This window comes from Homo sapiens, chromosome 11, assembly GCF_000001405.40.
Source record: "Homo sapiens chromosome 11, GRCh38.p14 Primary Assembly".
NCBI lineage: Eukaryota > Metazoa > Chordata > Mammalia > Primates > Hominidae > Homo > Homo sapiens.
Window position 1 is genome coordinate 108,263,569 of NC_000011.10, and position 24,513 is coordinate 108,288,081.

Sequence of the window (24,513 nt, forward strand, 5' to 3'; positions counted from 1 at the left end):
AAAAGAACTAGAAAAGCAAGAGCAAACACATTCAAAAGCTAGCAGAAGGCAAGAAATAACTAAGAGCAGAACTGAAGGAAATAGAGACACAAAAAACCCTTCAAAAAATTAATGAATCCAGGAGCTGGTTTTTTGAAAGGATCAACAAAATTGATAGACCGCTAGCAAGACTAATAAAGAAAAAAAGAGAGAAGAATCAAATAGACGCAATAAAAAATGATAAAGGGGATATCACCACCGATCCCACAGCAATACAAACTACCATCAGAGAATACTACAAACACCTCTACGCAAATAAACTAGAAAATCTAGAAGAAATGGATAAATTCCTGGACACATACACTCTCCCAAGACTAAACCAGGAAGAAGTTGAATCTCTGAATAGACCAATAACAGGATCAGAAATTGTGGCAATAATCAATAGCTTACCAACAAAAAAGAGTCCAGGACCAGATGGATTCACAGCCGAATTCTACCAGAGGTACAAGGAGGAACTGGTACCATTCCTTCTGAAACTATTCCAATCAATAGAAAAAGAGGGAATCCTCCCTAACTCATTTTATGAGGCCAGCATCATACTGATACCAAAGCCAGGCAGAGACACAACCAAAAAAGAGAATGTTAGACCAATATCCTTGATGAACATTGATGCAAAAATCCTCAATAAAATACTGGCAAACTGAATCCAGCAGCACATCAAAAAGCCTATCCACCATGATCAAGTGGGCTTCATCCCTGGGATGCCAGGCTGGTTCAATGTACACAAATCAATAAATGTAATCCAGCATGTAAACAGAACCAAAGACAAAAAACACATGATTATCTCAATAGATGCAGAAAAGGCCTTGGACAAAATTCAACAACCCTTCATGCCAAAAACTCTGAATAAATTAGGTATTGATGGGACGTATCTCAAAATAATAAGAGCTATCTATGACAGTCCCACAGCCAATATCATACTGAATGGGCAAAAACTGGAAGCATTCCCTTTGAAAACTGGCACAAGACAGGGATGCCCTCTCTCACCACTCCTATTCAACATAGTGTTGGAAGTTCTGGCCAGGGCAATCAGGCAGGAGAAGGAAATAAAGGGTATTCAATTAGGAAAAGAGGAAGTCAAATTGTCCCTGTTTGCAGACGACATGATTGTATATCTAGAAAACCCCACTGTCTCAGCCCAAAATCTCCTTAAGCTGATAAGCAACTTCAGCAAAGTCTCAGGATACAAAATCAATGTACAAAAATCACAAGCATTCTTATACACCAACAACAGACAAACAGAGAGCCAAATCATGAGTGAACTCCCATTCACAATTGCTTCAAAGAGAATAAAATACCTAGGAATCCAACTTACAAGGGATGTGAAGGACCTCTTCAAGGAGAACTACAAACCACTGCTCAAGGAAATAAAAGAGGATACAAACAAATGGAAGAACATTCCATGCTCATGGGTAGGAAGAATCAATATTGTGAAAATGGCCATACTGCCCAAGGTAATTTACAGATTCAATGGCATCCCCATCAAGCTACCAATGACTTTCTTCACAGAATTGGAAAAAACTACTTTAAAGTTCATATGGAACCAAAAAAGAGCCCGCATCGGCAAGTCAATCCTAAGCCAAAAGAACAAAGCTGGAGGCATCACACTACCTGACTTCAAACTATACTACAAGGCTGCAGTAACCAAAACAGCATGGTACTGGTACCAAAACAGAGATATAGATCAATGGAACAGAACAGAGCCCTCAGAAATAACGCTGCATATCTACAACTATCTGCTCTTTGACAAACCTGAGAAAAACAAGCAATGGGGAAAGGATTCCCTATTTAATAAATGGTGCTGGGAAAACTGGCTAGCCATATGTAGAAAGCTGAAACTGGATCCCTTCCTTACACCTGATAGAAAAATCAATTCAAGATGGATTAAAGACTTAAACATTAGACCTAAAACCATAAAAACCCTAGAAGAAAACCTAGGCATTACCATTCAGGACATAGGCATGGGCAAGGACTTCATGTCTAAAACACCAAAAGCAATGGCAACAAAAGACAGAATTGACAAATGGGATCTAATTAAACTAAAGAGCTTCTGCACAGCAAAAGAAACTACCATCAGAGTGAACAGGCAACCTACAAAATGGGAGAAAATTTTCGCAACCTACTCATCTGACAAAGGGCTAATATCCAGAATCTACAATGAACTCAAACAAATTTACAAGAAAAAAACAAACAACCCCATCAAAAAGTGGGCGAAGGACATGAACAGACACTTCTCAAAAGAAGACATTTATGCAGCCAAAAAACACATGAAAAAATGCTCATCATCACTGGCCATCAGAGAAATGCAAATCAAAACCACAATGAGATACCATCTCACACCAGTTAGAATGGCAGTCATTAAAAAGTCAGGAAACAACAGGTGCTGGAGAGGATGTGGAGAAATAGGAATCCTTTTACACTGTTGGTGGGACTGTAAACTAGTTCAACCATTGTGGAAGTCAGTGTGGTGATTCCTCAGGGATCTAGAACTGGAAATACCATTTGACCCAGCCATCCCATTACTGGGTATATACCCAAAGGACTATAAATCATGCCGCTATAAAGACACATGCACACGTATGTTTATTGTGGCATTATTCACAATAGCAAAGACTTGGAACCAACCCAAATGTCCAACAATGATAGACTGGATTAAGAAACTGTGGCACATATACACCATGGAATACTATGCAGCCATAAAAAATGATGAGTTCATGTCCTTTGTTAGGGACATGGATGAAATTGGAAATCATCATTCTCAGTAAACTGTCGCAAGAAGAAAAAACCAAACACCGCATGTTCTCACTCATAGGTGGGAATTGAACAATGAGATCACATGGACACAGGAAGGGGAATATCACACTCTGTGGACTGTTGTGGGGTGGGGGGAGGGGGGAGGGATAGCATTGGGAGATATACCTAATGCTAGATGACGAGTTAGTGGGTGCAGCACACCAGCATGGCACATGTATACATATGTAACTAACCTGCACAATGTGCACATGTACCCTAAAACTTAAAGTGTAATAAAAAAAATAATAATTTTTAAAGTTTGCATATTATTTTGTTATGTAGACATATTACAGGTTATATATCCATTTTACTATTGTTGGACATTTAGTAGAAAAAGTACTGTAGTTTTCATACTTACACATGAACCTTGAATTGTTTGATTAGGTAAATTTTTTTTTTTTTTTTTTTTTTGAGACAGAGTCTCGCTTCGTCAAACCCAGGCTGGAGTGCAGTGGCATGATCTCAGCTCACTGCAATCTCTGCCTCCTGAGTTCAAGTGATTCTCCTGCCTCAGCTTCCTGAGTAGCTGGGATTACAGGTGCCCACCACCACACCCAGCTAATTTTTGTATTTTAAATAGAGACAAGGTTTCACCATGTTGGCCAGGCTGGTTTCGAACTCCCGACCTCAGGTGATCCACCTGGCTCTGCCTCCCAAATTGCTGAGATTACAGATGTGAGCCACTGTGCCCAGCCTGATTAGGTAAATTTTGACTACAGCATGCTCCTGCAAGAAGCCATCTTGAACATCTTTGTTTCTCTTCCTTGAAGGCATCCTTCATCAAAAAGCCATTTGACCGTGGAGAAGTAGAATCAATGGAAGATGATACTAATGGAAATCTAATGGAGGTGGAGGATCAGTCATCCATGAATCTATTTAACGATTACCCTGATAGTAGTGTTAGTGATGCAAACGAACCTGGAGAGAGCCAAAGTACCATAGGTAAATACATATTTACTACTTGGGATTTCTTTTACTTCTTTATATTGATTTGGCAGTATAAGAGGCCTCATTGATATCAATTTTGTGCTTATTTCATTTTCTCTTAGTATAGCCTTTTAGGATTGTTCCTTTCTTATATACTTTATTTTTTTTTTATTTTTACTTGAATTTATTAGTTTCATATTTTATTCTTCATAGAAGGAACTTAAGATAACTATTAAAGAAATAAAACCAGGCCAGGCATGGTGGCTCACGCTTGTAATCTCAGCACTTTGGGAGGCCAAGGCGGGCTGATCATGAGGTCAGGAGATCAAGACCATCCTGGCTAACGTGGTGAAACCCCATCTCTACTAAAAACACAAAAATTAGATGGGCGTGGTGGCGGGCGCCTGTAGTCCCAGCTACTCGGGAGGCTGAAGCAGGAGAACGGCATGAACCTGGGGAGGTGGAGGTTGCAGTGAGCCGAGATCATGCCACTGCATTCCAGCCTGGGCGACAGAGCGAGACTCCGTCTCAAAAAAAGAAATAAAATCATATGATAGGTTATTTCCTCAATAGAAAGCAGGAAATGAAAACACACCTGTAATGCCATTGCTTTTAACCTTTTTCTATTATTTCTCTGTAGAAACATTCAAAATTGTAGTCAACATCAACATTCACATGTTATGAATGCCTGTTTAATTATAAGTATTTTTCCAGGTAGTTGCTTTTCTTGATAGTCATACTTTTTAATGGCTTCACCATTTTTCTGTCATAAATACCATAATTTACTTGACATTTTTTATTGTCAGAAATTTAGATTCTTTTCTATTTTCCTACAATAAACATTATTGCAATGATCATTTGTCTAAGGGTTTTTTTTTCTCATATTTTAAATTATTTCTTGACAACAGAATCTTGGATAATTTTTCAAAAAGACTTTTGAAGCTTTCAGTATATAATTAATTTCACTATAATTTTGCTTTTCATATACTTTTTTTTGTGAAGAGGAGGAAATTTGAGTTAATATGACTATATATGGCTGTTGTGCCCTTCTCTTAGTGTTAATGAGTGCTTTTTATTTTTAGGTGCCATTAATCCTTTAGCTGAAGAATATCTGTCAAAGCAAGATCTACTTTTCTTAGACATGCTCAAGTTCTTGTGTTTGTGTGTAACTACTGCTCAGACCAATACTGTGTCCTTTAGGGCAGCTGATATTCGGAGGAAATTGTTAATGTTAATTGATTCTAGCACGCTAGAACCTACCAAATCCCTCCACCTGCATATGGTGAGTTACGTTAAATGAAGAAGCTCTTGGATTTTATCTGATGTTGCTGACTAAATGTAATGAGTTGACATGTAAGAATCACATGGTGTCTTTGAAGAATTGAAATTGCTTTCTTGAGAAATGAACCTGAGACTAGTTGGAAAATAACACTTTTAACGTGCTGTGAGCAAATTTAAGTGGATGCTGAAATATTAAAACTTAGATGGGTTTTGGATAGATTTATTCTCTTTAGGTTTAATTGTTATAAATTATTTTAATTAGGCTAAGAAACATAGACCCTGAATGTAAAAATATTACATAACATTGTGTTTGAAGTTGGAACCTTGCCTTTGACCTTAGTTTATATATTTTCAGTTTTTTGGATTTGATTTCAAAATGATAGTGAAGTTACAAGAATACTACAGTTAACGTTTTACCATATTTGCTTAATCATTCCCTCTCTCCACACACACACTCATACGCAGATACACACATCATTTTCTCTGAACCATTTTGAGATGAAATCGCACACGTGATGCTCCTTATACTTCAGTGTATATTTCCTAAAAACAAGGATACACTTCTGTTTAGCCACAGTATAATCATCAAAATCAGGAAGTTAACATTTTGTCATTGCATTTAGGTGTGTAGTCTGTTTAGTCTCCTTCAATCTGGAACAGTTCTTTTTTTTATTTATCATGACCTTCATATATTTGAATAGTACAGGTCCCTTGCTCTGAGTTTGTCTGATGTTTCCTTATGATTAAATTTATACTTTGACGAGAATGTTGCAAAAGTAATTCCTCTTCTGCCTTCACCCTGTCCATTTATCTGTCTGTTGATAGATATCTTCAAATCCAAGCCAACATCACACAGTTTATCTTTTTTTCTGTCCAAATTTATAAATTGCTTTACTAGCAGTTAAAAAAAACACCCCAAAACCTGACTATCCACTCAACCTGAATGCATTTACTTATTTGCTCAACAACCTTATATATAACTAATCTAACCATGTGGGCCATTTTCTTAGCCCTAGCCCCAGTGTATGTGGAGGTAGAGCCTCTGGCCTAGCGAGTAGCAAGTTGGGTCCTAGGTCATGTCCCCAGTTCCAGCAAATTGTCACACATGCCTGGTGAGTCCCTAATTAGAACCTCTGATCACAGTAAATTGTAGGCTGAGTCATTGGTGGAATCCCTGGTCATGTTTCCCACCCTTGGTGAAAATGCACGTCAATCCCTTAGAGTGAGAAGACAAGTTTGGTTGTGCCCTGTTTGGGCCCCTGGTTTAGGTCCTCGCAGATACTCAAGTCTCTATCCCTGACCAAGAGGAAGTTACATGCTTTTCTTGAAGTATTGATGTTTCAAGTCACTTCAGAACATTCAGTAACCTCATGTACATGACTCTCATGTCAAATAATGAAAAGGATCATTTAATTTCCTTTGTTAATATCTGAAAAGGATTAAGAAATATATTATTCTATATGTAAATAGGAAAAAAAATCCCTTATTATTTCAGTATAGCCAGAAAATTATTTGGTAGTTCTCGGAAACTGGCTGCCCAGATAATAACTACCATTATAACTGGTCGTTGCAGCAGCCCTTTCTGTGCATAGTACCATAAAGAGCCTTACAAGATTGCCTTATGGGAAGATAGGTCAAGGTTTTTGACTTCTTCCCTGCCCATGATTATCTCTGCTTTCCAAAATTCATTAATAGTTTTCAACCACTGGTCTATTATCCCCAAGCATTATTTTGGGAGAGTGGAGACTTACAGTTTCAGAATCTTGCTCAAGCTCTTAACTGCAACAGTGGTAATAATGATCATTTATTGAATTCCACAATAGAAGCTAGACTTTTACGTTTATTTTCTCTAATCCTCACAGTTATCTGGCCAGGTAAGTGATATATCTTCACTCTACTGATGAGGGTACGAAGGCCCTAGATGACATAAGGCAAGTTTTTTACCAGAAAAGTTAAGGCTGTGGTACTGGGATTTGAATTTTCTGTTTGACTTCAAAGCCTTTTGTTTTTACTATACACCTCTTAAATATTTACAGCTGTGTGTGTGTGTGTATGTGTGTGCATGTATGAATTTATGTTTATATACTTAAAAAAAATTTTTTTTTGAGACGGAATCTCGCTCTGTTGCCCGGGCTGGAGTGCAGTGGCGCGATCTCGGCTCACTGCAACCTTCGCCTCCCAGGTTCAAGCGATTCTCCTGCCTCAGCCTCCTGAGTAGCTGGGATTATAGGCGCCTGCCACCACCCCTGGCTAATTTTTGTGTTTTTAGTAGAGATGGAGTTTCACCATATTGGCCAGGCTGTTCTCAAACTCCTGACCTTGTGATCTGCCTGCTTCAGCCTCCCAAAGTGCTGGGATTACAGGTGTGAGCCACTGCACCCGGCCTATGTTTATATACTTTTTAAAGTAAATGATTTGTGGATAAACCTGATTTTTTTCCCTCCTACCATCTTAGTATCTAATGCTTTTAAAGGAGCTTCCTGGAGAAGAGTACCCCTTGCCAATGGAAGATGTTCTTGAACTTCTGAAACCACTATCGTAAGAAATTAAAACCTTATGTTATGTTCACTTTAAAGTTATAAAATAACTGATGTGTTCTGTTAAGCTTATAAAGTTGAACTTTTTTTTTTTTTTTACCACAGCAATGTGTGTTCTTTGTATCGTCGTGACCAAGATGTTTGTAAAACTATTTTAAACCATGTCCTTCATGTAGTGAAAAACCTAGGTCAAAGCAATATGGACTCTGAGAACACAAGGGATGCTCAAGGACAGTTTCTTACAGTAATTGGAGCATTTTGGTAGGTACAGTCTATTTTGTGGTCCTATTTTTCTTTTGCTATCTGTGGATACGAATGCAAGTTTTGTATCCACATCAGTGATTTCTTCTGATCTTCCTACATAGCTAATACATCTTTTAAGAATAGCAGAATGTAATTTGTGTTTCCCTCAGTCGCTTGAAGAACTACATTGCTTTTTGTTTAAGGCTTGGCTTTCTAAACCGTTTAACTCATTTCTCTGCAAATTTTGAATCACTTAATAATTTGACATGTATAGTGAATAAAGGATAACAAGCCAAAATCAGTTGAATTGTTCATGTTCCCTAAGTGAACAAATTGGCCTTGTCCTTATCTGGTTATTTTATGCATATTGTCACATTCCAAGATAACACCCTGATACTTACAGAGGAGCACATACATATAATTTAGAACCCTTGTACTATCTGATTGCTAAGTAATTCTAAATCAATAGACTGTTTTTTGTTTTTGTGTTTTTTTGAGATGGAGTCTCACTCCATCACCCAGGCTGCAGGCTGGAGTGCAGTGGTGCTATATCTGCTCACTGCAACCTCCGCCTAGTAGGTTCAAGCAATTGTCCTGCCTCAGCCTCCTGAGCAGCTATGATTACAGGCTCCCACCACAATGCCTGGCTAATTTTTTTGTATTTTTAGTAGAGATGGGGTTTCAACACGTTGGCCAGGCTGGTCCCAAACTCCTGACCTCAAGTGATCTGCCCACCTTGGCCTCCCAAAGTGTTGGGATTACAGGTGTGAGCCAGTGCACCCAGCCTGAATGTGGTTTTGAAATCTTCAATATACCAAACAAAGAAATCTTCAATATACCAAACAAAGAAATTTCTTTCTAAAGTAAGTTTACTGTAATGTAGTTTAGCCATTCTATGGTAGCCCCCAAAAAAGGACATAATGGTATAAAACAAATAATATACGCTAAAATGAATTCTTTTACACTAATTTCTTTTAGCTTGAATTTTTGGCAAGGTGAGTATGTTGGCATATTCCACATAATGACAAATAAGTTTAGCACAGAAAGACATATTGGAAGTAACTTACAATAACCTTTCAGTGAGTTTTCTGAGTGCTTTTATCAGAATGATTATTTAACTTTGGAAAACTTACTTGATTTCAGGCATCTAACAAAGGAGAGGAAATATATATTCTCTGTAAGAATGGCCCTAGTAAATTGCCTTAAAACTTTGCTTGAGGTGAGTTTTTGCATTTTTTTAGTAAGATCTCCATTGAAAATTTTAAAGCAGTCTTTGTTTGTTAATGAGTAATTTTTCTCTATTTCATATTTAACCACAGTTCTTTTCCCGTAGGCTGATCCTTATTCAAAATGGGCCATTCTTAATGTAATGGGAAAAGACTTTCCTGTAAATGAAGTATTTACACAATTTCTTGCTGACAATCATCACCAAGTTCGCATGTTGGCTGCAGAGTCAATCAATAGGTAATGGGTCAAATATTCATGAAGTATTTGGAATGCTGCAGATGGCAGTAGAATGTCTTACATAGTAACAGCTCACAGTTGCAATATTAAAAATAGCTAACACTTGTTGAGTATATACGGTGTGCCTGGCATTTATGTTTATTCTTAATTCTTATACTTCTGTCACTTAGATTCTATTATTTCCTTCAATTTATAAATGAAAACTGTGACTTAGTGAGGTAAAGTAACTTGCTTATGCCACAGAGCTAACAAGTGGTTGACTCGAGTGAGGTGTGTCTACTATCATGTACAGGAGATACGGACTGTTTGGAAATTACTGTGATTTTATGTGAGTTTATGAAATGATAATTAGCACATTTTACATTGTGCTAATTACAATTATATTTACTTGAGTGAACATCCAGTGAAGCACTGGAAGGATTCTATCATGAGGATCTTTTATATTTGAGTACTGGAATAAACATATATTAATTTCATTCTTTTTTTTTTTTTTTTTTTTTTTTTTTGAGATGGAGTTTCGCTCATGTCTCCCAGGCTGGAGTGCAATGGTGTGATCTCGGTTCACTTCAGCCTCTACCTCCTCGGTTCAAGCAATTCTCCTGCCTCATCCTCCTGAGTAGCTGGGATTACAGGCGCCTGCCACCATGCCCAGCTAATTTTTTTATTTTTCGTAGAGATGGAGTTTCACCATGTTGGCCAGGCTGGTCTTGAACTCCTGACCTCAGGTGATCCACCCACCTTGTCCTCCCAAAGTGCTGAGATTACAGGCGTGAGCCTTTAATCATGTAGTTTTTGTCATTCGTTCTGTTTATGTGATGGATTATGTTTATTGATTTGTGTATGCTGAATCAGCCTTGCGTCCCAGGGATGAAGCTGACTTGATAGTGGTGGATAAGCGTTTTGATGTGCTGGATTCAGTTTGCCAGTATTTTATCGAGGATTTTCACATCGATGTTCATCACGGATAATGGCCTGAAATTTTCTTTTTCTTGTGTCTCTGCCAGGTTTTGGAATCAGGATGATGCTGGCATCATAAAATGAGTTAGGGAAGAGTCCCTCTTTTTCTATTGTTTGGAATAGTTTCAGAAGGAATGGTACCAGCTCCTCTTTGTACCCCTGGTAGAATTCGGCTGTGAATCCCTCTGGTCCTGGGCTTTTTTTGGTTGGTAGGCTATTAATTACTGCCTCAATTTCAGAACTTGTTATTGGTCTATTCAGGGATTCGACTTCTTCCTGCTTTAGTTGGGAGGTTGTATGTGTCTAGGAATTTATCACTTTCTTCTAGATTTTCTAGTTTATTTGCATAGAGGTATTTATAGTATTCTCTGATGGTAGTTTGTATTTCTGTGGGATCAGTGGTATTATCCTCTTTATCATTTTTTATTGAGTCTATTTGATTCTTCTCTCTTTATTAGTCTTGCTAGCGGTCTGTTTTGTTAATCTTTTCAAAAAATCAGCTCCTGGATTAATTGATTTTTTTGAAAGGTTTTTTTTGTGTGTGTGTGTCTCTATCTCCTTCACTCAGCTCTGATCTTAGTTATTTCTTGTCTTCTGCTAGCTTTTGAATTTGTTTGCTCTTGCTTCTCTAGTTCTTTTAATTGTGATGTTAGGGTGTTGATTTTAGATCTTTCCCACTTTGTCCTGTGGGCATTTAGTGCTATAAATTTCCCTCTAAACACTGCTTTAGCTGTGTCCCAGAGATTCTGGTACATTGTGTCTTTGTTCTTATTGGTTTCAAAGAACTTACTTATTTCTGCCTTCATTTCATTATTTACCTAGTAGTCATTCAGGAGCAGGTTGTTCAGTTTCCATGTAGTTGTGTGGTTTTGAGTGAGTTTCTTAATCCTCAGTTCTAATTTGATTGCACTGTGATCTGAGAGACTGTTACGATTTCCATTCTTTTGCATTTGCTGAGGTTTGTTTTACTTTCAATTATGTGGTCAGTTTTAGAATAAGTGTGATGTGGTGCTGAGAAGAATGTATATTACTCTGTTGATTTGGGGTGGAGAGTTCTGTAGATGTCTGTTAGGTCTGCTTGGTCCAGAGTTCGGTTCAAGTCCTGAATATCCTTGTTAATTTTCTGTCTCATTGATCTGTCTAATATTGATGGTGGGGTGTTAAAGTCTCCCGCTATTATTGTGTGGAAGTCTAAGTCTCTTCGTAGGTCTAAGAACTTGCTTTATGAATCTGGGTGCTCCTGTATTGGGTGCATATATATTTAGGATAGTTAGCACTTCTTGTTGCATTGATCCTTATACCATCATGTAATGTCCTTCTTTGTCTTTCTTGATCTTTGTTGGATGTTTGTTTTATCAGAGACTAGGATTGCAACCCTTGCTTTTTTTCTTTCTATTTGCTTGGTAAATATTCCTCCACCCCTTTATTTTGAGCCTATGTGTGTCTTTGCATGTGAGATGGGTCCCCTGAATACAGCACACTGATGGGTCTTGACTCTTTATCCAATTTGCCAGTCTCTGTCTTTTAACTGGGACATTTTAGCCCATTTACATTTAAGGTTAATATTGTTATGTGTGAATTTGATCCTGTCATTATGATGCTAACTGGTTATTTTGCCCATTAGTTGATGCAGTTTCTTCATAGTGTCAATGGTCTTTACAATTTGGTATGTTTTTGCAGTGGCTGGTACCAGCTTTGCCTTTCCATATTTAGTGCTACCTTCAGGAGCTCTTGTAAGGCAGGCCTGGTGGTGACAAAATCTCTCAGCATTTGCTTGTCTATAAAGGATTTTATTTCTCCTTTGGTTATGAAGCTTAGTTTGGCTGGATATGAAATTCTGGGTTGAAAATTATTTTCTTTAAGAGTGTTGAATATTGGCCCCCACTCTCTTCTGGCTTGTAAGGTTTCTGCCGAGAGATCTGCTGTTAAGTCTGATGGGCTTCCCTTTGTGGGTAACCCGACCTTTCTCTCTGGCTGCCCTTAACATTTTTTCATTCATTTCAACCTTGGTGAATCTGATGATTATGTGTCTTGGGGTTGCTCTTCTAGAGGAGTATCTTTGTGGTGGTCTCTGTATTTCCTGAATTTGAATGTTGGCCTGTCTCGCTAGATTGGGGAAGTTCTGATAATATCCTGAAGGGTGTTTCCAACTTGGTTCCATTCTCCCCATCACTTTCAGGTACACCAGACAAACGTAGATTTAGTCTTTTCATATAGTCCCATATTTCTTGGAGGCTTTGTTTGTTCCTTTTCATTCTTTTTTCTCTAATCTTGTCTTCATGCTTTATTTCATTAAGTTGATCTTCAATCTCTGATATCCTTTCTTCTGCTTAATCAGTTCGGCTGTTGATACTTGCGTATGCTTCACGATGTTCTCATCCTGCATTTTTCAGCTCCATCAGGTCATTTATGTTCTTCTCTACACTGATTATTCTAGTTAGCAGTTCCTCTAACCTTTTTTCAAGGTTCTTAGCTTCCTTGCATTGGGTTAGAACATGCTCCTTTAGCTCAGAGGAGTTTGTTATTACCCATCTTCCGAAGCCTACTTCTGTCAATTCGTCAAACTCATTCTCCGTCCAGTTTTGTTCCCTTGCTGGTGAAGAATTGTGATCCTTTGCAGCAGAAGAGGCATTCTGGTTTTTGGAATTTTCAGCCCTTTTGCGCTGGTTTTTCCTCATCTTCGTGGATTTATCTACCTTTGGTCTTTGATGTTGGTGACTTTTGTATGGGGTTTCTGTGTGGACATCCTTTTTGTTGATGTTGATGCTATTCCTTTTTGTTTGTTAGTTTTCCTTTTTACAGTCAGGCCCCTCTGCTGCAGATCTGCTGGAGTTTGCTGGAGGTCCACTCCAGACCCTGTTTGCCTGGGTATCATCCATGGAGGCTGCAGAACAGCAAAGATTGCTGCCTGTTCCTTCCTCTGGGAAGGTTCGTCCCAGAGCGGCACCCGCCAGATGGCAGCGGGAGCTCTTCTGTATGAGGTGTCTGTCGACCCCTGCTGGGAGGTGTCTCCCAGTCAGGAGGCACGGGGGTCAGGGACCCACTTGAGGAGGCAGTCTGTCCCTTAGCAGAGCTCGAGCGCTGTGCTGGGAGATCCGCTATTCTCTTCAGAGCTGGCAGGCAGGAACGTTTAAGTCCGCTGAAGCTGTGCCCACAACCACCCCTTTCCCCAGGTGCTCTGTGTCAGGGAGATGGGAATTTTATCTATAAGCTCCTGACTGGGGCTGCTGCCTGTCTTTCAGAGATACCCTGCCCAGAGAGGAGGAATCTAGAGAGGCAGTCTGGCTACAGTGGCTTTGTGGCACTATGTTGGGCTCCACCCAGTTCGAACTTCCTACTGGCTGTGTTTATACTGTGAGGGGAAAACATCCTACTGAAGCCTCAGTAATTGCAGACGCCCCTCCCCCCACCAAGCTTCAGTGTCCCAGGTCGACTTCAGACTGTTCTGCTGGCAGCGAGAATTTCAAGCCAGTGGATCTTAACTTGCTGGTCTCCATGGGGGTGGGATCCGCTGAGCTAGACCACTTGGCTCCCTGGCTTCAGCCCCCTTTCTAGGGGAGTGAATGGGTCCGTCTCGCTGGCGTTCCAGGTGCCACTGGGGTATGAAAAAACACTCTTGCAGCTAGCTCAGTGTCTGCCCAAATGGCCGCCCAGCTTTGTGCTTTAAACCCAGGGCCCTGGTGGTGTAGGCACCCAAGGGAATCTCTTGGTCTGCGGGTTGCAAAGACTGCGGGAAAAGCGTAGTATCTGGGCAGGAATCCACCATTCCTCACAGCATAGCCCCTCACAGCATAGTCCCTCACGGCTTCCCTTGGCTAGGGGAGGGAGTTCCCCGACCCCTTGTGCTTCCCGGGTGAGGCTACACCCCACCCTGCTTTGACTCTCCCTCCGTGGGCTGCACCCACTGTCTAACCAGTCCCAATGAGATGAGCCATCTACCTCAGTTGGAAATGCAGAAATCACCACCTTCTGCGTTGATCTCACTGGGAGCTGCAGACCAGAACTGTTCCTATGTTGCCATCTTGCTGTTCCCTTGTTTTATTTTTCTCTAGTATTTATGATAACGTGAAACATATTTTAATATATTTACTTCTCCGTATTCCACTAGTATATATGTTCCTAAAGGCACTGGTTTTTGTCTGTTCTGTTCATTGTTGTATTTTTAGCACCTAAAACAATACTTGGCATGTGATAGGTATCCAATAACTGTTTTAAAATAAATGAATGTACTTGAAAAAAAATTACATGATGCTTCAAAAACATCAAAGCTGAAAATCATTTGAGTAACTTTAAAATGTAAGCAATCAATAATAAAAGATTACTATATTGTTCAGCAGTCACATAAAGTATTAAAACTAATATTTCAGTATTTGAATATGCCGACAGTAATGTTTTCATAAACTAGATTTTGTGTCTAACTCCTCAGGTTTGGAACTGTTTTTAGTAAGACCATAATGCATTGCAAGGATTTCTAATGAATATGTTTAGTAGTTCAAGCCCTTATTAAATTTCACAGATAAAAGCAAATGTATGCTGAACTTTAAGGACTGAGGTAATATAAGACTGAATTGAATGTAATAAGGCGGCAGTGTAGTGGTGGCATTAAAAAAACTGAAGATTCAAAAAGTATAAATTCAAGAATAACATGCAAGTAGCATTCTTTTTTTTAATTTTACACTTGTTAGATTTTGTCTTAGTCCCTTTGTGTTGCTATAAAGGAATACCTGAGGCTGGATATTTACAAAGAAAAGAGGTTTATTTGGCATATGGCGTCTACATCTGGTAAGGGCCTCAGACTCATGGCAGAAGGCAAAGAGGAATCAGTGTGTGCAGAGATCACATGGTGAGAGAGGAAGCAAGGGTGGAGGCGGGGAAGGCCATGCCAGGCTCTTTTTTTTAATAACCAGCCCTTGTGGGAACTGAATAGTGAGAACTCACTCATTCCTTACCCTCAGGCCTTAATCTATTCGTGAGGGATCTGCCCCCATGACTCCGACACCTCCCATTAGGCATAACCTAATGGGGATCAGATTTCAACATGACATTTGGAGGGGTTAAACATTCAGACAATAGCAGATATCTAATGTTCAGCTATTTTAAGAGCAGTGAGTGAAACTAGAAGAATCAGAGGAACATAAACAATTATAAAAGCTTCGATTACTAAAAAAGGATAAAAGACAAAGTTGATTAAAGAGTTATCCTTAAATATGTGGGTGTTACGCAAAAGGTGTACTGATCAACTTTTTTCCATCACATAAAACAAAATTTAAATGGTACATAAAAACATTAACTTACCCGCTTTCAGAGTGATTAAATGTTAGAGCAGGTTGACATTGGAATCTGTGGACTCAACTAATTGGTGTTCGGCCAGAGAACAGTTTATCTTTTCTGGCTAGTTTGAGTTCAGTGCTGTTCAAATTTGAGCAATAGTTAAAATATATTTTGAGACCCTCTTCAGTTCTAGGAGAAAATAGATTTTGTATTCAAGACCTTAATACTAAGCTGCTGGTCTGAACCTCTTTAAATAAACTCAGGTTTTGTTAGTCTTTAAGAAAGAGCTAGTATGTTATTATGTCTCACAGAGTGATTTATTTTTGTTCTGGAATATGCTTTGGAAAGTAGGGTTTGAAATTAGAAAATTATTTCACTTTTTGTTTGTTTGTTTGCTTGCTTGTTTTAAGATTGTTCCAGGACACGAAGGGAGATTCTTCCAGGTTACTGAAAGCACTTCCTTTGAAGCTTCAGCAAACAGCTTTTGAAAATGCATACTTGAAAGCTCAGGAAGGAATGAGAGAAATGGTAATTTTAAGTAACATGTATTTGCTGTTATCATATGCTTGCTATGAATATCCCATAAATTACTTCACCAAGTTTGGTATAAGAGAGTTTATAATCCAGTAGTTTACAGTATAAAGCTGCTCTAAAACAACTGTATGAATTGATTGAAACTGCATTCTTTCTGGGTCACAATGGGTCAAATCATAGCAATTTCTTTTGGTTTAGCATTTTTATGGAGAAACCCAAAATTTAACTGAGTTTTTATGGGAGTATAAATGGCTCCCTTTTTTATTTTAAAAATCCTTTTATATGTGATCTGATTAAAAGCTAATTAAGGGAACAGGTGACAATGGGAAGAAATGGATTGAGGAGAAGAATCTCACACAAAATCAAATCATTGTGGTGTTTACAGTGAAACTTGTGATATTTCACGTTTCTGTAGAATAATATATTTTTTATGGTAATGATTATCTTAGAGTTCAAATTTTTTCATTTATTTATGCCCTGGTTTGTTTCTTACAAGTATTTAAGGTAGTTAAATAACTGTCAAGTCTGTGATAGCAGGAAATTGAAAGGAACAATTGAAAGAATGTGAGTTTAGAAAAGAATTTCAATAGATTAGAAAGATAAGTGTAAATAACATAAAATCTAATGAGATAATGTATATTATACATTTTAAATCAGCCTGTCATCTGCAAAAAGGGAAAATACTGATCTGACAGCAATTCATTTAGAAAAAGACCTAGGAAGTTTTGTATCTTGTGATTATAGTATGAATCAACATTGTATTACAGTTACCAAAAAGGCTAACTCTGTCTTACACTGCATTAATAGAAGCATATTGTCATGAACAAAGTTAATACAAGAACTTGGATCTTTTATACTTTTTGCTTTATTTTTAGATCTTTTAATTTTTATGGGTACATAGTAGGGGTGTGTGTGTGTGTGTGATACGGGTATACAATGTGAAATAATCACATCATGGAGAATGGGGTATCCATCCCCCAAACAAATATCCTTTGTGTTACAAGCAATCCAATTACACTGTTTTAGTTATTAAATGTTTCTGTATTTTTTAGAGGATAACTATAATGTTTGGTTTGGTTCTGAGTAAAGTAAAAGATTTTTAGCCAGAATGTTATAGATCTGTGTCTTATAAAAAATGGATGAAGGAATTGACTTAGTGGAAAGCTCACATTTGTTTTTAAACATGTCAGTGCTTGTGATTTAGCAAAGGTATTGGTCCTTACTCTTTCTTGTACCAAAAGACAGAACTAGGATTAGTGAGTAGGAGGTTTCTGAAATGTGTATAGCTTGTCAAAAAATCTGGAGTTCAGTTGGGATTTTATAATTGATTGTTAAACATTTACATTTTACATTACATTTTTTTTTTAATTTCTTTTTAAGTCCCATAGTGCTGAGAACCCTGAAACTTTGGATGAAATTTATAATAGAAAATCTGTTTTACTGACGTTGATAGCTGTGGTTTTATCCTGTAGCCCTATCTGCGAAAAACAGGCTTTGTTTGCCCTGTGTAAATCTGTGAAAGAGAATGGATTAGAACCTCACCTTGTGAAAAAGGTATATATGGATGAGTATTTTATTAGAAGCTTCCTTAGGTCACTGTGAAATAATTTAAAAAGTTAAAGCTAGATTTTCTGAGTGGCACTTATTTAAGACTAGGAAACAATTTTATTTTTTAGGTTGGGAATATTGGAAAGCAGTTATACAAAAACTATTCAAATGGTATATTTATGGTATGCACTGTTTCTTACATTCCATTTAAGAGCATTTCACAAGGCTTTCATTGTACTAACAAGAGTGAATGACTTGTCCACCAGACTGACCAGGCTTTTGGAAATAGTATTTATTGAGGGAAACACATGGAGACAAGAGCAGCATAGGTGTTTTGCCCGGTAGATTCTGGGGCAGCACATTGGGATCCAGCAGGGCCAGAAGTCAAATTTTAGAGCTATCAGGCTTTTAAGTTCAGTTATCAGGGGAGAAGGACTAGGGTCCAAGCCTTATAATTACTACATCAGCACAGTATTATAGAATGTTGGCCCCGTCTCTTTTCCATCACCTCAGCATTTATGGTTTAGGAAGTTCCAGACCTTTCCATTGCAAATTTTTATGTGATAAATCAGTGGTAGGTCAGTGGACTGATATTATGCCAGTTAACATTCTACCAGCATAGTTTCCATGGTGCTTTGGAGTAAGCCAGCCTATAATCAGTTAGCCTTTTACCTCTCAGTATAAGACTTGTTCGGTGTTTCTTAAAAGTATACAAATACATTACCTAATAATCATAAGTGTTATGTATTGTTTGGATTTTTCTTATTTGGATTTAAGCCTAAGAGAAATAATTTTACTTTATATTTATTTATTTATTTTGAAAGACAGGGTCTCACTCTGTCACCCAAGCTGGAGTGCGGTGATGTGATCATGGCTCACTGCAGTCTTGACCTCCTGGGCTCAAGCGATCCTCCCAAGCCTCCTGAGTAGCTGGGACTACAGGCATGTGCCACCACACCTGGCTAATTTTTTTTTTTTTTTTTGAGACGGAGTCTCGCTCTGTCGCCCAGACTGGAGTGCAGTGGCATGATCTCGGCTCACTGCAAGCTCCGCCTCCTGGGTTCATGCCATTCTCCTGCCTCAGCCTCCCGAGTAGCTGGGACTACAGGCGCCCGTCGTCACATCCACACACCTGGCTAATTTATTATACAGACGGGCTCTTGCTATGTTGCCCAAGCTGGTCTTGAACTCTTGGGCTTAAGCAACCCTCCCTCCTCAGACTCCCAAAGCGTTGGGATTACAGGTGTGAACCACCACTGGCCAGTAATTTTACATTAAATCTTCCTTTAAGTATAACCAAATGTTGGAAACTCTTAGCATATTTTTATATTTTTATTTACTTAACATTTATTAAGGGTTTGCTATGTGTCAGATACTGTGCCAGTTGAGTACATTTTCTTAATTATTATTCCCATCTCATAGATGAGGAAATCAAGAAAAGTTGAATGAATGTTGTTTCTAGGTCCTACTCTAAATAATATTAACAAGCATTTAAATGATTTATTTTTTTCATTTTTCTTAACACATTGACTTTTTGGTTCGTGCAGGTTTTAGAGAAAGTTTCTGAAACTTTTGGATATAGACGTTTAGAAGACTTTATGGCATCTCATTTAGATTATCTGGTTTTGGAATGGCTAAATCTTCAAGATACTGAATACAACTTATCTTCTTTTCCTTTTATTTTATTAAACTACACAAATATTGAGGATTTCTATAGGTAAGTTTATACATGACATATGTGAAATTTGTTTAATTTAAAATTAGTTAACAATACTTAGCAAGTCCCCTCACCAGCAACACACATACCATACCCATACACATGTGTGTGTGGGAGCCTACATAGTATGAGAAGCAGGACAGCTTCTTTTAATAAGAATGTATTGAAGGGAGTCACTGGACTTCAGATCTGGTCCTAGCTGTGCCAACAACCAGCTATCTGACTTTGGTCAAACCACATAAAGACCCTCTATGCCTTGGTTTTTTAATATGTAAAGTAAGCAAGTTACACAAGGAGATCTTTCAGGTCCTTTTCAGCTTTAATATTTGATCATCTTTCCTTTGGAAAAAATTGAAGATAAATTACTAGTAGCTGGTTATTTCTGCCTTGTTTTTCTTTTCTGTTGCTTGACTATAGGCCTCTTAGTTATTACTTCTATTAGATTTAGAAACTTAATGTAAAACTTTATTTTGCTAACTTTAACTCTGTAGAAGAAAAATTTGAAAATGGAGAGGTTTGAAACAACTAAAAAGTAATGTTTAGGTATCAGGATGATGGGAAGGCATCTCATATTTGTTGAACATGCTCTGTGTTATGGACTTTGCTATGCATTTTACATGTAGTGTATCACAGATCTGAGTTTCAGACTTATCCTAATAGAGTTTTCTAATAGATTATGAGTTGTATGTAGGTAGTTTCCTTTAAGAAGGATATTCCTACAAAAGTAAATTTAGTGGTCCTTATAGTTCATTCATTTTGGCAAGAACAATATAGCTATATCTCTGTATATGCGAGGGATTCATTCCAGGATCCCCCATGTATGCCTAAATTTACGCGTACTCAAGTCACCAAGTTGGCCCTGCAGAACCCACGTATATGAAAAGTCAGTCCTCTGTATATACAGACTTTCACATCCTGTGAATACTGTTTTTCTATCTGCATTTGGTTGAAAAATATGCAAGTATAAGTTCAAACCCATGTTTTTCAAGGGTCAACTGCATTTATGTTAGTTGATTATGCAGAAGAAATAAATATAAATTCAAGTCTCCATTTTTATTTGTTTATTGTTTTGTTTTTTCTTTTTGCTAAGGGTGCTACTGAACAAGGTCCCATTTTTAAATCCCATAATTATGGTGGTGGTATGTTCTAAGCTTTCTAATTTTTTTAATGTGACTATTTAGAATTTACTTAATTTTTCCATTTATAAAATTAAAGAATGTTTAATAATCTGGATAAAGTATGATACTTTAATGCTGATGGTATTAAAACAGTTTTTAAGAACTATTTTATAAAATTTTACTTGGAAAAGTTATATATAACCTGTATTTTAAATTTTTCTATTTTTAGATCTTGTTATAAGGTTTTGATTCCACATCTGGTGATTAGAAGTCATTTTGATGAGGTGAAGTCCATTGCTAATCAGATTCAAGAGGACTGGAAAAGTCTTCTAACAGACTGCTTTCCAAAGATTCTTGTAAATATTCTTCCTTATTTTGCCTATGAGGGTACCAGAGACAGTGGGATGGCACAGCAAAGAGAGACTGCTACCAAGGTCTATGATATGCTTAAAAGTGAAAACTTATTGGGAAAACAGGTATGGCTTCAATTTTTATGTACTTTTCATTCCCTGAATGATATGAGATATAACCTTTAAGTTTTAAGGCTATTTATTCGATTTATTCGTATTTATATATTGAAACTTAGCTTGTGGTAATCATTATCTAGCATAGCCAACCCATGAATTTTTTTGGTTATGTCGTGTTGTCTCCCTCTGATTGGCTTTTAACTAAGTAGAAATGTTTTAAATTAGAAATAATCCAAAAAACCATTTGAATAATTTTCTTCTGCCATTTAAAAATTTATTTTAACTGTTGTAATACACGAATGCAAACTGGTTGTTAAAGTCAAGGAATACTAAACAGTGTACAGAAAACCTTCACTCCCTCTTCAATCTCACCAAGCTTTCCACTTTTCAAGAAAAACAACCGTCCCTCATTCCTATAGTTCTCATACCCTGCTGTTTGTTTTTTTGTGACACTTATTACCTTCTAATGTATGATACAATTTACCTTTTTTTTCTGTCTTTGCTTTTGTTTTTGAGACAGAGTCTTACTCTTTTGCCAAGACTGGAGTGCAGTGGCATGATCTCAGTTCACTGAAGCCTCTGTCTCCTGGGTTCAAGCAATTCTCCTGCCTCAGCCACCCAAGTAGCTGGGACTACAGCTGCGCACCACCACACCCAGCTAATTTTCATATTTTTAGTAGAGACGGGGTTTCACCATGTTGGCCAGGCTGGTCTTTAACTCTTGACCTCAGGTGATCTTCCCACCTCAGCCTCCCAAAGTGCTGGGATTACAGATGTAAGCCACCTTGCCAGACCATAATTTACTTTTGAATTATGTTTATTATTTACCAGTCTTCTCCAGTATACATTTTTCTCTCTTTTTTTTTTTTTGGCTGATGTATCTCTAATATATTTTGAGTATTCATTAAATGTTTGTCAAAAGAAGGAGTCAAGTAAGGAAGGATTTAAAAAGCTTCGTTTGTTTTATAATCATTTATATACATTTCCAAAATTTTTTGAAGCAACTTATATTAAAACATACATACAAATTTTTTAAGATAAAAAAGCTGTGGTCACCCCACATTTATGTATGTATTTATTTATTTTGGATATAAGTAAGGGATAAGTAACCAAACTTGGTCAATATTAGATAAACTTCAAGGGACCTTTTTTTTTTTTAGTTTCCTAGTTATCTATATTGAACCAAGAAATGGAACAGCAAGTTCCTTAGTTGCTTAGGTGGACCTATTCAGAACTGGTTGTAAGTCTGCAGTCTGAAGGGAAATGGTGAGCAGAGGACTCCTTTCCCAAAGACAGCTGGAACAGAAATAGGCACTCCAGAGGTTATGGAATTTGAGAGAGATACTCAGCCTCTAGCCACTCCCATTCAATCTCCCAGCTTAGTCTTCTGAGCATTCTTAATCTTACTATTCTTTTCTTAATGTATTCAAACCAAAAGACAGCAATTTTTAGAGCCTGAATAGGTTTTGGAGGGAAAAGTAATTACGTTCAACTTCGATTGAAACTCTTGCCTCAAGAATGAAGAACAGCAAAAATTAAATCACAGTTTCTTAGCTTTTTGGTTAAAGATGTAAGTTAAATTCTTGGCCGGGTGCGGTGGCTAACGCCTGTAATCCCAGCACTTTGGGAGGCCAAGGCGGGTGGATCACCTGAGATCAGGAGTTCAAGACCAACCTGGCCAACATGGTGAAACCCCATCTCTACTGGGTGTGGTGGTGTGTGCCTGTAATCCCAGCTGTTTGGGAAGCTGAGTCAGGAGAATCACTTGAACCCGGGAGGTGGAGGTTGCAGTGAGCCAAGATTGTACCACTGCATTCCAGCCTGGGCAACAGAGCAAGATTTCGTCTCAAAAAAAAAAAAAAAAAAAAAAAAAAGAATTGTATAAAACACACAAACAAAGCAAGGAAAGAATGAAGCAACAAAGCCAGAGATTTACTGAAAATGAAATTATACTCCACAGAGTGGGAGTGGGCCCTGAGCAAGTGGCTCAAGGGCCTGGTTACAGAATTTTCTGGGGTTTAAATACCCTTCAGAGGTTTTCCATTGGTTACTTGGTATACACCCTATGTAAATGAAGTAGTGGTCTGTAATCAGTCTGATTGGTTATAGGAGGGGACCAATCAGAGGTACTTTCAATTTCTTATCTGCCACAGTAAAAGGGAGGGGGTTGCAAAGGGAGTAGCCTCTTGTCCTTTTGTTACTTGAGCATGGAAAGTTGGGGTTTTCCTTTTGATTTCGTTCTAGGAGGTCAGCATGGATTGACCTTAGGTTCCCTGCCTCCAGACCTTATTGCCCTGCCTCATTTACGTTAGGTTTCTTTCTTGTCACCTTCTAAAATATTTTTTGTTATTAGGAAGTATGTTTTTGAACTTCCTTATGCATTAAGTAAATTAGCCATTTATCACTGTAATTCCTTATTTGGAAAGTTGTTATATTCACCCTTAAGACTTCACAATTCTCATTCATTTAACTAAAGTGCAACATAGCAGACTTATTCTTTATATTTAGAGAATTTGTGTCTTTTGTGAAGCTACCTGTCTATAGTGGGAAGTAGATTAATGAAAAGTCCAAATCTGTTGGGGAGGGTTTTATTCTACTATTGATGAAAGGGGATGTGGATCGCAGCTAGCCTTAGAATTTGGGATGGCACTCAAGTAGAAGTCTGGGAAGAAGTTACGCAGGGAACAAAGATGACATTGTTCGCAGTCCCTGGGAATTCTTAACAGTAAAGTTCTGTAATTGAGACAGAATTCCCAAATAAAGTCAAGAGTAAAATTCAGATAGAGGAGCAGTTATACATCAGTGGGAAATTTGGTTGGCAGAAAAATTACCAGGTCATACAACTTAATGATAGACCTGAAGTCTTATTTAAAATGATTCTCTAAAATTGAAGAATTGGATTAAGGGGGCCTTGTTTGGCTGATTTTCATACTTTTTCCTCTTAGTCTACAGGTTGGCTGCATAGAAGAAAAAGGTAGAGTTATTTATAATCTTGTAAATCTTGGACTTTGAGTCATCTATTTTCTTTTACAGTCATCGAATACTTTTGGAAATAAGGTAATATATGCCTTTTGAGCTGTCTTGACGTTCACAGATATAAAATATTAAATATATTTTAATTTTGTGCCCTTGCAGATTGATCACTTATTCATTAGTAATTTACCAGAGATTGTGGTGGAGTTATTGATGACGTTACATGAGCCAGCAAATTCTAGTGCCAGTCAGAGCACTGACCTCTGTGACTTTTCAGGGTATGTACATTTTAAACTTAGAGAACTAGCTCTAACTTCACAAGTTTTTAAAGAAGTTTATTGGTTGACACCTTCAATGTCTATTTCAATTTATAGACATCACTCTTTTTAAAAAATTTTCTTTAAAAATAGCCACCTTTGAATTGAGGTAATTACCTATCCTCTTTTACCATAGTCTCCCCACAGTAATTACTCTTTCTAAATTGACCACTTGGTTGGCCAACCCAATAACCTTTTCTTAGTCTTTCTGTAATATTTGAACATTGTGCCATCTGTTGGCCCTTGAAATTTTTTTCTTCATACACATTATTCCTAGTTCTCTTCTCTTTATCTAGGTCTTGCCTTTCTAGATCACCTTTTCTTTTT

The 24,513-nt window shown here is 37.7% G+C and overlaps 1 protein-coding gene across 16 annotated transcripts in view, besides 3 other annotated features; it reads left to right on the plus strand.

Moving 5' to 3' along the window:
- The window catches only part of ATM (ATM serine/threonine kinase), a 146,036-nt gene that overhangs the window by 40,502 nt on the left and 81,021 nt on the right, over window positions 1-24,513 (plus strand). For 15 of the 16 annotated variants that reach the window (XM_011542840.4, XM_047426977.1, XM_006718843.5 and 12 more), the window contains 11 exons: window positions 3,603-3,774; window positions 4,842-5,041; window positions 7,496-7,578; window positions 7,683-7,838; window positions 8,964-9,039; window positions 9,154-9,284; window positions 15,923-16,040; window positions 17,427-17,600; window positions 19,142-19,311; window positions 20,659-20,905; window positions 24,032-24,147. In XM_011542840.4, coding sequence (XP_011541142.1) covers window positions 3,603-3,774; window positions 4,842-5,041; window positions 7,496-7,578; window positions 7,683-7,838; window positions 8,964-9,039; window positions 9,154-9,284; window positions 15,923-16,040; window positions 17,427-17,600; window positions 19,142-19,311; window positions 20,659-20,905; window positions 24,032-24,147 — 1,643 coding nt within the window. Of the gene's footprint in view, window positions 1-3,602; window positions 3,775-4,841; window positions 5,042-7,495; window positions 7,579-7,682; window positions 7,839-8,963; window positions 9,040-9,153; window positions 9,285-15,922; window positions 16,041-17,426; window positions 17,601-19,141; window positions 19,312-20,658; window positions 20,906-23,851; window positions 23,871-24,031; window positions 24,148-24,513 lie in introns of those variants that run through there. The other variant, XM_006718845.3, reaches the window with a different exon arrangement.
- Window positions 6,149-6,293: an enhancer, noted in NCBI's record as "145 bp 11:108140516 sequence used in MPRA reporter constructs". NCBI's record gives its function as "activates a minimal TATA-containing promoter with rs3092991 allelic activity by MPRAs in UACC903 melanoma cells {active_cell/tissue: UACC903}" and the evidence as "EXISTENCE:reporter gene assay evidence [ECO:0000049][PMID:36423637]".
- Window position 6,221: a transcriptional cis regulatory region, noted in NCBI's record as "rs3092991 or 11:108140516 MPRA-significant variant associated with a GWAS melanoma risk locus at 11q22.3". NCBI's record gives its function as "allelic transcriptional activity by MPRAs in UACC903 melanoma cells {active_cell/tissue: UACC903}" and the evidence as "EXISTENCE:reporter gene assay evidence [ECO:0000049][PMID:36423637]".
- Window positions 13,568-14,367: an enhancer, noted in NCBI's record as "H3K27ac-H3K4me1 hESC enhancer chr11:108147863-108148662 (GRCh37/hg19 assembly coordinates)". NCBI's record gives its function as "activates a minimal SCP1, AML or CMV promoter by ChIP-STARR-seq in primed H9 embryonic stem cells {active_cell/tissue: H9 hESC(primed)}" and the evidence as "EXISTENCE:reporter gene assay evidence [ECO:0000049][PMID:30033119]".